The 15234-nt window shown below is 34.2% G+C and overlaps 1 protein-coding gene across 16 annotated transcripts in view; it reads left to right on the top strand.

The window, feature by feature from the left end:
• Positions 1 to 15234, top strand: part of CACNA2D1 (calcium voltage-gated channel auxiliary subunit alpha2delta 1) — a 497513-nt gene that overhangs the window by 458302 nt on the left and 23977 nt on the right. For 9 of the 16 annotated variants that reach the window (XR_001744873.3, XM_005250572.4, XM_011516571.4 and 6 more), the window contains 6 exons: positions 944 to 1020; positions 2321 to 2341; positions 3028 to 3088; positions 11103 to 11200; positions 13791 to 13878; positions 14918 to 14980. Coding sequence is in view for 15 of the 16 variants with exons in the window: in XM_005250572.4 (XP_005250629.1) it covers positions 944 to 1020; positions 2321 to 2341; positions 3028 to 3088; positions 11103 to 11200; positions 13791 to 13878; positions 14918 to 14980 (408 nt within the window). In the remaining variant the exon portion in view is untranslated. The remainder of the gene's footprint in view (positions 1 to 943; positions 1021 to 2320; positions 2342 to 3027; positions 3089 to 11102; positions 11201 to 13790; positions 13879 to 14917; positions 14981 to 15234) is intronic. The other 7 variants (XM_005250574.4, XM_005250573.4, XM_011516572.4 and 4 more) reach the window with 1 other exon arrangement.

Below are 15234 nucleotides of genomic sequence, written 5' to 3'. Positions count from 1 at the left end.
AACTAATGAGCTTAGCAAACAATTTCTGTTAGTGCAGTAAAGGAATCTGAATTTGCCTATGAGTAGACTAGTACTAGAGAACTTGCCCAAGGATTAGAGTTTTAAAATAGTGGTTATTTAATCCCTCAAAAGAATATATTTTAGATGACTTTATGCATTGTTCAATAGTAATGATAATGGCCAGGCGTGGAGGCTCATGCCTGTAACACCAGCACTTTGGGAGTCTGAGGCAGGCAGACTGCCTGGGCAACATAGTGTAAACCCTGTCTCTACTAAAATACAAACATTAGCTGGGCGTGGTGGCATGTGCCTATGGTCCCAGCTACTTCGGGGGCTGAGGTGGGAGGATCGATTGAGCCCAGGGGATTTAGGCTGTGATGAGCCATGATCGAAACCACTGCACTCCAGCCTGGGGGATAGAGTGAGACCTTGTCTCCAAAAAAAAAAAAAAAAAAAAAGTAATGATAATAGTAACTCTTCCATTTGTATTTTAATAGTGTCCATTTTATACAAAGCACTTTAACATTATATATAATACGTTAAGGAAGTGTGTCCAAATGGTATTATGTATTTACCTTGTTTAAACATACCCCTAATGTTCTTCAATTTTTTGTTAAAATTCAAAGTAATTTAATATAATTTTCTGGAAACATAGTAGGGGGCCATGACACTCCTTCCTTGGCTAATTTATGGGTTCATTCAGGAACTTATTTTCCACTTGTCTCTTCTGATTCCCTACAATGTAGAGAGCTAGATGACTCTGGATGGCAAGACTGAAATTAAGTACTGTATTTGCTGAATGCATTTTCTTGTCAAAGTAATATGTCTTTTCCTTCCCATGAGGAAGATCTTTCGATTTTCCCATGAACTTGATGTGTCTTTTTTTTAAGTTATGTTTCATTTTTGTTTGTTTGTGTTTATGCTTCTCTTGTTTCTATTGCAGTTTGGCCTTGGTATTACCAACCTACAGTTTTTACTATATAAAAGCCAAACTAGAAGAGACAATAACTCAGGCCAGATGTAAGTACTGTGAAAGTGACTTCAGGGTCCATTTGTTATCTCCTAGTATCAGATGTTTAAATACGTCTAGATTTTGGAATACCCAAGGCTTATGAAATATTTTAGTAGGTGTTATTACCAAATCTACAGCAATGATTCTAACCCATTCCAAACATGCAAGGAACAAGAAATATTCTACATGGATAGAATATGAGCAGGTACTCCAGTCTCACTGGCAGTCCCCACCACCCTTCCCTGCCTTGCTATGTGCTCATAGAATCATTGCAGTGCTGTGTCCTGTTGCTGTCGTTTTAAGGGTCTGCTAGCTGGAGCAAAATGTTTCACATGCTACTTATCAACATAGTCTCTACTCTCATGGCACTGTGCTAGTAAAGCTTTTCCTTTTCTTTCCTTTTATTTGTTTCTGGTTATTTATTTATTTATTTTGCATTTGGCCAGAATAATATTGTGCTTCACATCTTCTTCTACTTTGAATAAATTAAATTGCACTGGTCTTTGGCTTTGGTTTGGCAATTAACTTTCTTTTCGTAATCCAAATTAATGTCTCAGTAATGCAAATGGATTAATTTTTTTAAGCCTCATTTGGAATGTAGAGTAATTAATACTAGTGCATACTTCAAGTTATTGTTTATTTTGTTTTGGGTGACTAGATTTTGTAAAGTAAAATGACCATCATATCCTTTGCACACTGCCGATTATTGCTAACAACCTTAAATTTTTCTGTGAGGATGAAGTAAAATACAAAAGAATACCAAAAATATACGTATATATTTTACATCTGATCTTAAAGTAAGCTACAGTTTCTTTCATTTCTCTGTCAGTTCTTTTTTGCCCGCATCAGGCCTGGTGTTCACTGTGCATTATACATAGTACATTTATATTTCCACTTTCACTTGATAGATAGATATGATGGTCTTTTCACAACCAGCAATTCTGCATGAGCTAGTTCTTCAATTGATAAATGAGGGGATAACTCGTGAGTCTTTGATTAGTAAATGCTTATGTTTATAGCCTGACGTCATTGGTATTACACCTGCATTAATCACTTTGCAAAACAGACCCTTGAAATAACCACAGTACAGAGAGGGTAATCTAGTTATAATTGATAGGACATACTATCCAGTCTTCAAAATATGTCTTTTTTTTCCTCAGACTACAGCTGTACATAAATGAACCTTTGATCTATGCACAATATTTTTATTCAAGAAAGTCATTGAATAAAATATTGTTTATGACCCCCTTTGCTTTACCCTCTTTTTTTTTTGTTTCCCTGCTTTCTCTTTCTGATGGATTTTCACAGCAAAAAAGGGCAAAATGAAGGGCAAGTATTTTCTTGTTGCTCAACTTCTTTCTGTTTAGTACACTTGACATTTCCACTGATATTTTCCTTCCTATTGGATATTATCCTCTGTGCTTCTCATTTGCTAAATTTTCCTTCATGATCACTCAAAACTTAGCAGCAAAAAAATGGTAGAAAGAATATGCTGTGTTTTCATATGCAAGCTGGTTCACATTCAAGTTTTTTTCTTGGACTTAAGAAGCTTTGTTTTGTATCCTTCCACTTACTAATTCATACCTAATATGAGGAATGTTATTAACTCACTAAAGGCATTAATGAGTTTTTTAACATCATTTTCTGGATCATAATATTGGTAAACTTTATATAAATAATTGGTCTTTAAAATACCTCTGGTATAACATTCATATCAATCACTTTTTAAAAGATATTCGGTTATAGTAGGGTTAGATCAGAAAATTATAGACATAGCATTTTCTTTGAAATAACTGTGGGGATCCATGTTATGAAGTTAATCCATGTTATAATTTTATTATTTTGGGAAGCATTGAGGACATTTATATTCATTGATATGTTTCAATTTTAGGATGTAAGTACTCTATTTTCAATTTTTCTTATTAGGTAATCTTTCTCATGCCTTCTTATTGTTATAGAATCTCTGGATATATACTCTGAATTACCTATCTAATCCTGTAACATTATCTTTGCAGATTCGGAAACCCTGAAGCCAGATAATTTTGAAGAATCTGGCTATACATTCATAGCACCAAGGTTGGTTTTGTTGTATTTTTGATACATCTTCTATCAGTAGCTAGGCCTTCAACAGTAGTTCAGAATTGAGTCAAGACTGCTCTGGGTTAGTTCCATATCACATTATGGAATCAAAGGAAATAATTACTTTAAAACTGAAACAAAATCTTTATTTATTCATTTCTTTACTCATTCAAATACGAGAGGCCGAAGCTGGTGGATCACAAGGTCAAAAGATCAAGACCATCTGGCCAACATGGTGAAACCCCGTCTCCATTGAAAATACAAAAATTTGCTGGGCATGGTGGCACACACCTGTAGTCCCAGCTACTTGGGAGGCTGAGGCAGGAGAATCACTTGAACCCAGGAGGCGGAGGTTGCAGGGAGCTGAGATCATGCCACTGCACTCTTGCCTCATGACAGAGTGAGACTCCATCTCAAAAAAAAAAGCAATTACTATGTGCTAAGCAATGTAGACTCTGGGACACAATGGGAATAAGATGGACATAGGCTTTGCTCTTGTAGAACAAACAGTGCTTCCAACAGTAATAGAAAATTGTGTATTTTTACCTGTGAATATGTATATACACATATGTACACATATATACACATATATGTACCAATATTTATGTGTATCTATACACGTAGGGGTAGAATGAACATAATAATGGATTTTTTTAATGGTCTAATTCAACTTTCTGGGAGAACATGTTTACAGTGGCATTGCTTTACATAGCTTTTTAGATGCACCTCATTTCTTTCTACCCAATTTTATTTATCTCTCATATAATCTCCCTTCATCACGCATGTACATCTTTTTCTCCATCTCAGTTTTCTTGTAATTATTTGAAACTATTCAGTAGTCCCAGGGTGTTCTTTATTCTTCTTTCTTTCCTCAGTTTTTGACTCCTATTCCATGACAGACACATATAATATTCAAATATAATTCCTATTAATCTAGGCCAAATTATTGGGAACAATTTACATAGAAGCTTGGATTGTTAATTTTTCACTTTTCTTAAATTATTCCAAAAACTCAAAGATGCATATAAATTGTTCTGAGTTACCCTTTAATTCTTGCAAAAGGATATTTCTGAATTGTTTCTACTTTAACGTAGGGAATATGGGTTTTTTGAAAAATCTCTGTTAACAAAGCCTATTCTTGGCTTTTTGAATGCCCGTATCCTTGAGAAGCTTCTCTTGCTTGAATTTCCTTTAGTGTGTGACGCTGTTGATCACGCTGTCCTTTGACAGTGTGCTTTCTCTTGCTTGATGACACACTATTCTGTTTTTCTTACTCCCTCTCTGGCTGCATATTCACTGTCTCTTTCATGAGTTTCATTTCTTCTGCTGATCACTCATATAAGAAGGCTGCAAAGGATGCTAGCCTAGGCTGTCTTTTTACCTGAGACTGCATTCAGACCACAAGCCACCCATGTGTTCTCTGCCTACAGGTTAGGTTCATAATTCCCAAATCTATATGATGGCCATAAATATCTAGAGACAAAGACATATGTGTTTCATTGATATTGCATTATATTATTTAATCCTATATTATATCTATTTCCAGACTTTACATATTTCAATATGAGACACATCTCATGGAAACCAGACAAGAGTATCTCTTCAATGTGCTTCAGATTTAGCATCTTATAAATAATTGTTTCCTTTGGAAAGTTCTACCTATGTTGCCTCAGAGGAGAAAATGCCATCCTCCCAAACGAGCAATCTTGAAACCTGTTAGTTGTCCTTCTCTGCTTCCTTTCTCTTGTATCTCACTTCTAATCAATCACCAGTCTTGCCAGTTCTGTCGTATGAGTATCAAGTGTATCTGTCAATCTCAGCTGCCTCTGCCCTAATCCAGGTCACTGCCTTCTCTCACCTAAACTACTACATTTGCCTCTTACTTGATCTCCCTACTTTCATATTTACCCTGTATTTCTTAATGCTGTCTCTGTTCTGTAACCAGAGAGTTTCTAAAATGTGAAAAAAATCATATTTCTCATCTGCTAAATACGAGCCAGTGATTGTATATTGTCTTTATGATTATCTGTGCTTTATATTATAGCTTTCAAATGCTCTTCCACCAAGTCCTGGTGTACCAGTGTGGTCCCCCACACTCTAAACTATGGACCATCAAACTACATCCTGTAGATCAGCTATCAATTTTAAACATAAATTTTTGTTGGAGCACAGTGATGCTTATTTGTTTCTGGAATGTCTTTGGCTGCTTTTTCTACAAAGACAGGGTTGAGTAGTCGTGTCATAGAATTTATGGGCCACAAAAGCCTAAATCACTTGCTACATGGCCCTGTCAGGGAAAGTTTCCCTACCCGTACTCTAAATTTCATCCATACTAACGTCTTTCAGTTCCTAAATGCACTTTCTTTTTTTTTTTTTTTTTTTTTTTTTTTTGCTTGGTTTTAGTTTTACCTTCTTTTTTCCATTAATTCTCTTTTCCCTTTTGGACTACACACACATACATACATATGCATCCCGCTCCCTCCGAAATCCCAACTTAAAAATTCCTCAATGTGGGGATTTCTTTCCTTTCTTCACTGGTATACGCATCCTTCCTGACTGCTTCATAGAATTCTCTATTTCTCTTGGGGAGCACTGGCCACATTTTATTTACTTTCCTCAACAGACCATGACTGTGTCTATTTGACTTAACATTCAATACCCAATAGTGAATCCATTGCTGGCACACAGTAGGTGCTGAATAAATACTTGGTGACTGGAGAATCTGTAAATATATAAAGAATATTCTTAAAAATTGTATCACTAATAATACTTGCAATCTTATTAGTAGTTTTTGGACACAAGTCACTTTAATTAATTTCAAGTTACTTTGAATTACTGAGAACAACTTTAACCCACTTTAACTAGAAAGAATTTTCTCAGTATTAAGGAGAACATTAGCTAGAAAAAACAAAAACAACAAAAACAGGGTCCCGCAGAATATTAACATAGCAAACAATTTAGGAAGAGATTGAAATTAGGCCTGCTATGTTGGCAAGACTCTCCATCTGAGGTCTGTGTTGTTGTCTACAGTTTCTTCCCTTGTCTCTCCCAGTTATTAAGTAGCAGATTATGCATGTTGGCTTTCTCAGCTTCACTATAAGACAAGGTGGAAACTAGGGTAGAATCCAGATACATAGAGAAAGATAGATATATCTCTCAATTCTAATTCCTAATTCATAGGCAGTGGATTTTGTTTAATCCAGCAGGTATTAGTGTATGAACCATTTCTGTAGTCAGTGTCACATTTCATATTTTTTTTTACAATTCAAAGTTTTAAAATATATTTACATATATGTACAACTATCACTAGAGTTAATTTTAGAACATTTTCATCATCATAAAGAGAAAATCTGTAACCTTAAATGTTACCTACCCATCCTTCCCCAACCCTCCCCAGACCCAAACAACCACTAATCTATTTTCTGTCTCTTATGGCCATGTGCTTGTTCTAGACACGTCGTATAAATGGAACAATACAATACGTGACCATTTGTATCTGCCTTATGTCACGTAGCATGATGTTTTCAAGGTTCATCCATGTTGTTGCACGTATCAGTACTTTTTTTATAGCTGAATGATATCAATACAGCTGACTAGAAGATCGAAATTTACTTACGTGTTTAGGGAAGGAGAAAGTACTTGAGAAGGGAGAGTATTTGGCTTGTGGGACAGGCCAATGAATGTCCACTTCAATTAACATATGTTAAGCCCTTTATGGGCTTGATTATAAATAAATAAATAAATATATATATATATATATATGTGCTGTTTTGAACAGTGTGTGTGTGTGTGTATATATATATATATATACACTTTTTAAAAAAAATTTACTTTAACTTCTGGGATACATGTGCATGACGTACAGGTTTGTTACATAGTTATACATGTACTGTAGTGGTTTCTGCACCTATCAACACATCATCTAGGTTTTAAGCCCCACATGAATTAGAAATTTGTCCTGATGCTCTCCCTCCCCTTGCCCCCCAACAGGCCCCAGTGTGTGATGTTCCCCTCCCTGGTGTCCATGTGTTCTTATTGTTCGACTCCCACTTATGAGTGAGAACATGCGGTGTTTGTTTTTCTGTTCCTGTGTTAGTTTGCTGAGAATGATGGCTTCCAGCTTCATCCATGTCCCTGCAAAGGACATGAACTTATTATGGCTGCATAGTATTCCATGGGGCATTTGTGTTATATTTTCTTTATCCAGTCTATATCATTGATCAGCATTTGGGTTGGTTCCAAGTCTTTGCTGTTCTGAACCGTGCTGCAATAAACATACATGTGCATGTGTCTTTATAGAATGATTTATAATCCTTTGGGTATATACCCAGTAATGGGATTGCTGGGTCAAATGGCATTTCTGGTTCTAGATCCTTGAGGAATCGCCACACTGTCTTCCACAATGGTTGAACCAATTTACACTCCCACCAACAGTGTAAAAGCATTCCTATTCCACCACATCCTCTCCAGCATCTATTGTTTCCTGACTTTTCAATGATCGCCATTCTAACTGGCATGAGATGTTATCTCATTGTGGTTTTGATTTGCATTTCTGTAATGACCAGTGGTGATGAGCTTTTTTTCATATGTTTGTTGGCCGCATAAATGTCTTATTTTGAGAACTGTCTGTTCATATCCTTTGCCCACTTTTTGATAGAGTTGTTTGTTTTTTTCTTGGAAATTTAAGTTCTTTGTAGATTCTGGATATTAGCCTTTTGTCAGATGGATAGATTGCAAAAATTTTCTCCCATTCTGTAGGTTGCCTGTTCACTCTGATGATAGTTTCTTTTGCTGTGCAGAAACTCTTTAGTTTAATTAGATACCATTTGTCAATTTTGGCTTTTGTTGCCATTGCTTTTGGTGTTTTAGTTATGAAGGCTTTGCCCATGCCTATGCCCTGAATGGTATTGCCTGGATTTTCTTCTAGGGTTTTTATGGTTTTAGGTATTACATTTAAGTCTTTAATCCACTTGAGTTAATTTTTGTATAAGGTGTAGGCAAGGGGTCCAGCTTCTGTTTTCTGCATGTGGCTAGCCAGTTTTCCCAACACCATTTATTAAATAGGGAATCTTTTCCCTATTGCTTGTTTTTGTCAGGTTTGTCAAAAATCAGATGGTTGTAGATGTGTGGCGTTATTTCTGAGACCTCTGTTCTGTTCCAGTGGTTTATATGTTTTTGTACCAGTACCATGCTGTTTTGGTTACTGTAGCCTTGTAATCCATCAGATAAATAGAACCAATGACAAAAACCACATGATTACCTCAATTGATGCAGAAAAGGCCTTCGACGAAATTCAGCACCCCTTCATGCTAAAAACTCATAATAAACTAGGTATTGATGGAACGTATCTCAAAATAATAAGAGATATTTGTGACAAACCCACAGCCAATATCATACTGAATGGGCAAAAGCTGGAAGCATTCCCTTTGAAAAAGGCACAAGACAAGGATGCACTCTCTCACCACTCCTATTCAGCATAGTATTGTAAGTTCTGGCCAGGGCAATCAGGCAAGAGAAAGAAATAAAGGGTATTCAAATAGGAAGAGAGGAAGTCAAATTGTCTCTGTTTGCAGATGACATGATTGTATATTTAGAAAACCCCATTGTCTCTTCCCAAAATCTCCTTAAGCTGATAAGCAACTTCAGCAAAGTCTCAGGATAAAAAATCAATGTGCAAAAATCACAAGCATTCCTTTTTTTTTATTTTTTGAGATACAGTCTCGCTTTTGTTTCTCAGGCTGGAGTGTAATGGCATGATCTCTGCTCGCTGCAACCTCCACCTTCTGGGTTCAAGCGATTCACCTGCCTCAGCCTCCCAAGTAGCTGGGATTACAGGTGCCCACCACCATGCCTGGCTAATTTTTTGTATTTTTAGTAGAGACGAGGTTTCACTATCTTGGCCAGGCTGGCCTGAAACTCTTGACCTCGTGATCTGCCTGCCTCAGCCTCCCAAAGTGCTGGGATTATGGGCGCGAGCCACTGTGCCCAGCCACAAGCAATCCTATACACCAATAATAGACAAACAGCCAAATCATGAGTGAACTCCCATTCACAATTGCTACAAACAGAATAAAATACCTAGGAATACAACTTAAAAGGGATGTGTGTGAAGGACCTCTTCAGGGAGAACTACAAACCACTGCTCAAAGAAGTAAGAGAAGACAAAAACAAATGGAAAAACATTCCATGCTCATGGATAGGAAGATCAATATCATGAAAATGGCCATACTGCCCAAAGTAATTTATAGATTCAATGCTATACCCATCAAGCTACCATTGACTTTCTTCACAGAATTAGAAAAAACTAAATTTCATATGGAACCAAAAAAGAGCCCATATAGCCAAGACAATCCTAAGCAAAAAGAACAAAGCTAGAGACATCACGCTACCTGATTTCAGAATTATAAATTTTATTGAAGTTTTCCCCTTGAGTGCATGTCTTTTAATATTATATGTGATAAAACTAGAAGTGCTACTGCATCCCAGAGTAACTTGGATGTCTCAAAAAAATAAAGGACCTGTATGATTGTGTTAGGAAGTGAACAAGGTGCTTTCTGCTTTTTTTTTTTTAATGTAACATTACTTGAAAGAACAAATTACAGAACTATGGTTATTCAGATTTGGATAGCCAGCAGATAGTTTCTCAAAAATAAATCAGATGAGCTTTTGACTTCGAAGAAAACAACTAAGAGTATTTGCTGCCAATGACAGAAACTGAGCTTTCCAACGAAAATTAGAATTTTGGGAAAGTTGTATACATGATTCATTCCCAATACTTACTTAGTTGAAGATAATAATGAGTGTAAATTTTCAATATTGTATAATGTGTCATTATTTGGAAGTTGTACACAACTCATTTTCTAAATAACCAGTTTATGATTTTACAAAATCACGGATGCTTAAAAGATTCATTTAAAGTATAAGAAAGAATATGGAATTTTAATGTAACAGAAGGCAAAAAAACTATTAATATTGTTTCAGATTCCATGTTACAACTACCCATCAATGAATTACAAATAAACAAGTTTCAGTATGTTATCAAAAACAGAACAGCCGCAATATCTGAAGAAAAACAAGCCTCTCGTCTCTGTGAGGACAAATTTTCTGTATAGACCAAAACAAACTCTTGCAATTGATTGCAGAGACATGCTTGTCTTCTCTTGTCAGGAATTAAAGATAATTTGCAAATATGTAAAACATTGCCACTTTTTAAAATATTTTTTAAAATAATGGTAATATTTTATTAAAATATATTAACATGTAATGAACTTTAAGATTTCTGGGCTTTTTTATTGTCTAAATTTTTATTTTCAGACAGTCATAGATTCACATGCAGTTGCAAGAAATAATACAGAGAGAACCTATATACCTTTTACTCAGTTTCCTCCAATGGCAACATCTTGTATAAGTTTAACACAGTATCACAACCAGGAAACTGACATAAACACAATCCACTGATATTATTCAGATTTCACTAGCTTTATGTCCACTCAGTTGTGTTTGTATATGTGTGTAACTCCAGGCAATTTTTTTTTTATTTTAAGTTCAGGGATACATGTGCAGAACGTGCAGGTTTGTTGCATTGGTATACACGTGCCATGTTGGTTTGCTGCACCTATCAACTTGTCATCTAGGTTTTAAACCCCGCATGCATTAGGTTTTTGTCCTAATGCTGTCCCTCCCCTTGCCCCCGATGCCCCAAGATTTCTGTTTTAATTGCTATATGAGACTCCTAAATCTAAGATATACAATGATAATAGTATAACTACACCAAAACTTATTGAGCACCTACTGTCCAAAGGCCAAACGTTTAATTCATATTGCCTATAATCACCACTTACTGGTAAAGTATTGGTCCATTATAGAAGTGAGGAAATGGAAGTAACAAGAAGCTCAATAGTTTGCAAAGTCTTGTGGCTAATAAAAAAAAAAAATAGTGTTTTCACTACCTTTAATTACCCTGTAAAGTTTTGATTTTAATATCTAATATCTCAAAATGTTTTTTTTTCAGAGATTACTGCAATGACCTGAAAATATCGGATAATAACACTGAATTTCTTTTAAATTTCAACGAGTTTATTGATAGAAAAACTCCAAACAACCCATCATGTAAGTATGCATTAATTCAAAATGATTGCTTGAGTGTGGTTCTATTGGTTTATAGTATATCATAGGATACGATAATCATATTACTTTATATTGTGCTGGTTGTTTATTTACTTTACAACTTTTTAATAGTAAAATGTAACAATTTGATCCTTAATTTTGCAAACTAAAGAAATGTTATTTCATTATTTAGTTAAATCAAATTTTCAAAACAAGGTAATATATTCTTTCAAATGGTTAAACGTAAATATGGCACGCTCATGTTAGCTCCTCTCAAATTTAGGAAATTTAATTTTGAATGATCTTTTGAAGGTTTTTTTATAGCATTTTGCCTGGTAGAGGAAAACGTACATTTTTATAAATTTATTTATATGCTTCAAATAATATAATGAGTTTTAATATGGGTAGAATAAAAACCGAAGTATAAAGAAATATCACTTAATGATTTTCTTCCTTCCTGACATTCTATTTTGATCACAAGTTAACTTTATGTCTTAAAAAATTATGCTTCTGTAATTTTTCATTTATGAGGTAAATCAAATTAAAATAGACAACAGAAAATTAGTAATTAGTTTTTAACCATTATATTTGTCTTTCAGGTAAATTTGCATCATTCATACTCTAAGCTTAATAGAAAATTATGGATTCTTGGCTTTTAAATCATTAAAAAATCTAAATCATTTTTTCTTCTAAAAATATTTATTATAAAAGCACTACCAAAACAAATACCGTACAAATGGGAAATAAGAGGAAAACCAAATTCATGGCAAAATTTATCTTCATAAATAAAATTTGAAAAAAGAATAAGTACACATAATTGACTTTTTTGGTTCTCTCTCAAAGAGGAGTCTCTTTGTTCTCTTCTCCCTCCCTCCCTCCTTTTCCTTCTCCTCCTCCCTTCTTTTTGTTTTTCAATTATTTATCTTTCTATTAGGAAGGGTCAAAGCACTTTATCAGTTATCAAAAAGGCAAAGGCTTTCTTAAAGCTGACTCTTAACTTCGATTTATTGCATATGAGAAGAAATAACTTCCTAGCTCCTTCACTTTAGCACAGATTAGTTAGCGGCTTCAGTGAGCCACTCTGAAAACCTGTCATGGGAGCCAGAGTTTACATTGATCATGTCTTAACATGATGATTCCAAACCTTTCTACTCAGTGCAAGCTCACTGAGACTGAGCCAGTGCCTTTGAAATGTTATTTTATGTCATTGTTTATTTCCTATTAATGAGTACTAGGCATTTCCAAGAGAGAACTGTAATAAGATTGTTGAATGTTCCTTTAATTGGATACCAAAATTATGAAACACTCTCATATTCCTTGCAAAAATGAGTTTATCAGAAATGTTTTTCCTAACATATAACTTTTCAGAACACCATGAAAATTGGAATCATTCTTTTTTATATCTGTATCTATTTATTTTGTTTTACCTAAAGGGATTGGAGGCAATTAGAACATTTACTTTCCAAATGAACTGTTTTTTAAATGATTCAGTTTCTAAAACAATATAGTAAAAAAGAGTGTCTAGAATGAATTAAAATGTACTCCAAAATAGGGATTACATTGATCCTTTAATCCCAGGTGTAAGATATATTAACTTAAAATAATTAAAAGCAACAAAAATGTTTCCAGCCTATCTCACCACCATGTTGTATAGTAATAGGATGTTAAGAACATATATTCTTTATCTGAAAAAGTCAAATTTTGTCGTAAATGTGCAATTTCAGAGGGTACCTGTTAGGGTATTTCAGAGCTTAATGGGTTTAGAGGAACAAGGAGAATGGGAAGAAGGCAGAGGTTTTTGTTTAAGAATACATAATAATTGGCCTTTGATCCTCATCACCTGTTTCCTCAATTATCTTTAAACTTGGGCTAATATGCACTTCAGTTATTCTAGAAATGACAACCTATTATCTACTTAGGTATTGGTTCTTTGACCAATACCAGTAGATTTCAAAAACATTCTTGGGATTGTACTGCTCTGTGATGCTCATTCCATTCCTTGCTCCTCGATATGCGGCACTGAATTTTTCATAGTCTTATTTACTCCAAGATTATCCTATGTTTTGATATTTGTGATAGAAAAGAATGAAAATAGCTTTTCTTATAACAAATGAAAGTGAAAGTAGACAGTAACTTTTTGTTGAATGTTTTTACTTGATAATTTCAGTGGTAGTTCTGTTTCTATATATATAAATTTTATATACATATATAAAATTTTATGTGTGTATACATTAAATTGTCATAAAATTATGATGGTTGGGAATCGCCATGCTACCATACAGAAATAAACAAAAACACAAAAGAAGGACTATTTCCTGTTTCTTAACATAGCTTATTTCTTATTTTGATAAAGTTTACAAAATAATTTGGCTCATTTAGAATTGATTTTTCTACTACTAAATCCATTCATTTCCTGAAAAACTGTGAGGCAAGATGAACAATATTAAAATTACAAAGAAAATGAATGTGGAATATATTTTAAAATTCATAGAAATATCTACTCTAAATTGCTTTTGGAAATAGAAAATATATTTTTCATTATGATCATAATTTTAGAAATGTGAGTGTAACTGATGATCTTTTTCTGTGTTAGGTAACGCGGATTTGATTAATAGAGTCTTGCTTGATGCAGGCTTTACAAATGAACTTGTCCAAAATTACTGGAGTAAGCAGAAAAATATGTAAGTATTTGTTCTTATTAATAAAAATATGTATTCTGCATTTCAATTTAGTTTCTCCTGTGGAAATTGGGTATGAATCTCATAAATTTACAGTTCATTAATAATGTTTAATATTTCTCAAGAAAATCACTATACAGTTGTTGACAACTTGCATTTTCAGTTGTGGGTGTTTTTCAGTACTAATGTCTGCTATTACTCAACTTTTCATGCACATACACTTCAGGGTGAATACACCAAATTAAATGGGCATGATTGTGTGTTTCTGTTTGTGCTAAAGTAGGATTTCTAGTCAGTGTTTATTTGGGTTTCTAATAGCATTACCATACATCCAGTTGAGAAAATCTGAGTATGATTCTTATTTAAAATCTCTTCTCCACCCCATTTTCAGTCACTAAATGCTAAATATTTCTCCTAGCAATGTTTTCTTCTCTACCTCATAATGAAGGCCCTAAGATCCCATTTCTAAGAAATCACAGCAACTGATTTTTCTGCCTTTAGTGTTCTCCATTCCTCCACATGCAGCTTCTAGACAATTCTCCATACAACTCATATTGGCCAGAATCTAACTCCTAAAATGCAGTTCTAAGTTCAAGATACAGGTGAAGCTCTCTAAGATGGAATTCAAAATCATTCATTAGCTGACCATTGAGGAACTTGCACTTGAAACTTTACTTCTTACTGTTTCTCTCCTTTTGTCTTACGTTTTTTTTCTATACCAAACACCAGCCATCTCTGGTAGCTTTCCCTTATGTATACATTCCTCTCTACAAGTGATACCTTCCTGCTTTCTGTGTCATTGCTGTCAATTCATACTCCATGTTCAAAATGCACCTCAGTCATTATTTCCTATGAGATGTCTTCCTTAAACATCCTTCAAGTACAAATTTAATAGATATTTAAATTATTAAAACATAGTTGTGTATCTATTGATATATTTCCTTTACTTCCTAAACTTACTTCTCTTTGTATCACCAACACCTAACTTTGTTTTTTAGAATATGTTCAATAGAACATTTCCTTGTTTTGTCTTCTGTTTCAGCAAGGGAGTGAAAGCACGATTTGTTGTGACTGATGGTGGGATTACCAGAGTTTATCCCAAAGAGTAAGTTCAAATAACATCTGTAAAAACAAGTACATTACAAAAGACTGCGCCAAGGATTTGTACATTACTGCTTAAGGAAGCCATTCTTCAAATAAACTGATTGCCATTAGATTACATTGGAGCCATTGTTTACAGTATTTACATTATTAAAAGATTTTATTTCTCTGAAAAATGACATTATAAAATTCTTCAATGATGTTTTTGCTTGCCAAATATGTTTATTACAACATTTAAGAGACGTTTAAAGAGATTTT

This window comes from Homo sapiens, chromosome 7 (genome assembly GCF_000001405.40).
Source record: "Homo sapiens chromosome 7, GRCh38.p14 Primary Assembly".
Classification (NCBI taxonomy): Eukaryota; Metazoa; Chordata; class Mammalia; order Primates; family Hominidae; genus Homo; species Homo sapiens.
The sequence above is the reverse complement of the archived record's forward strand: the minus strand, read 5'-3'. Positions and strand labels throughout refer to the sequence as shown.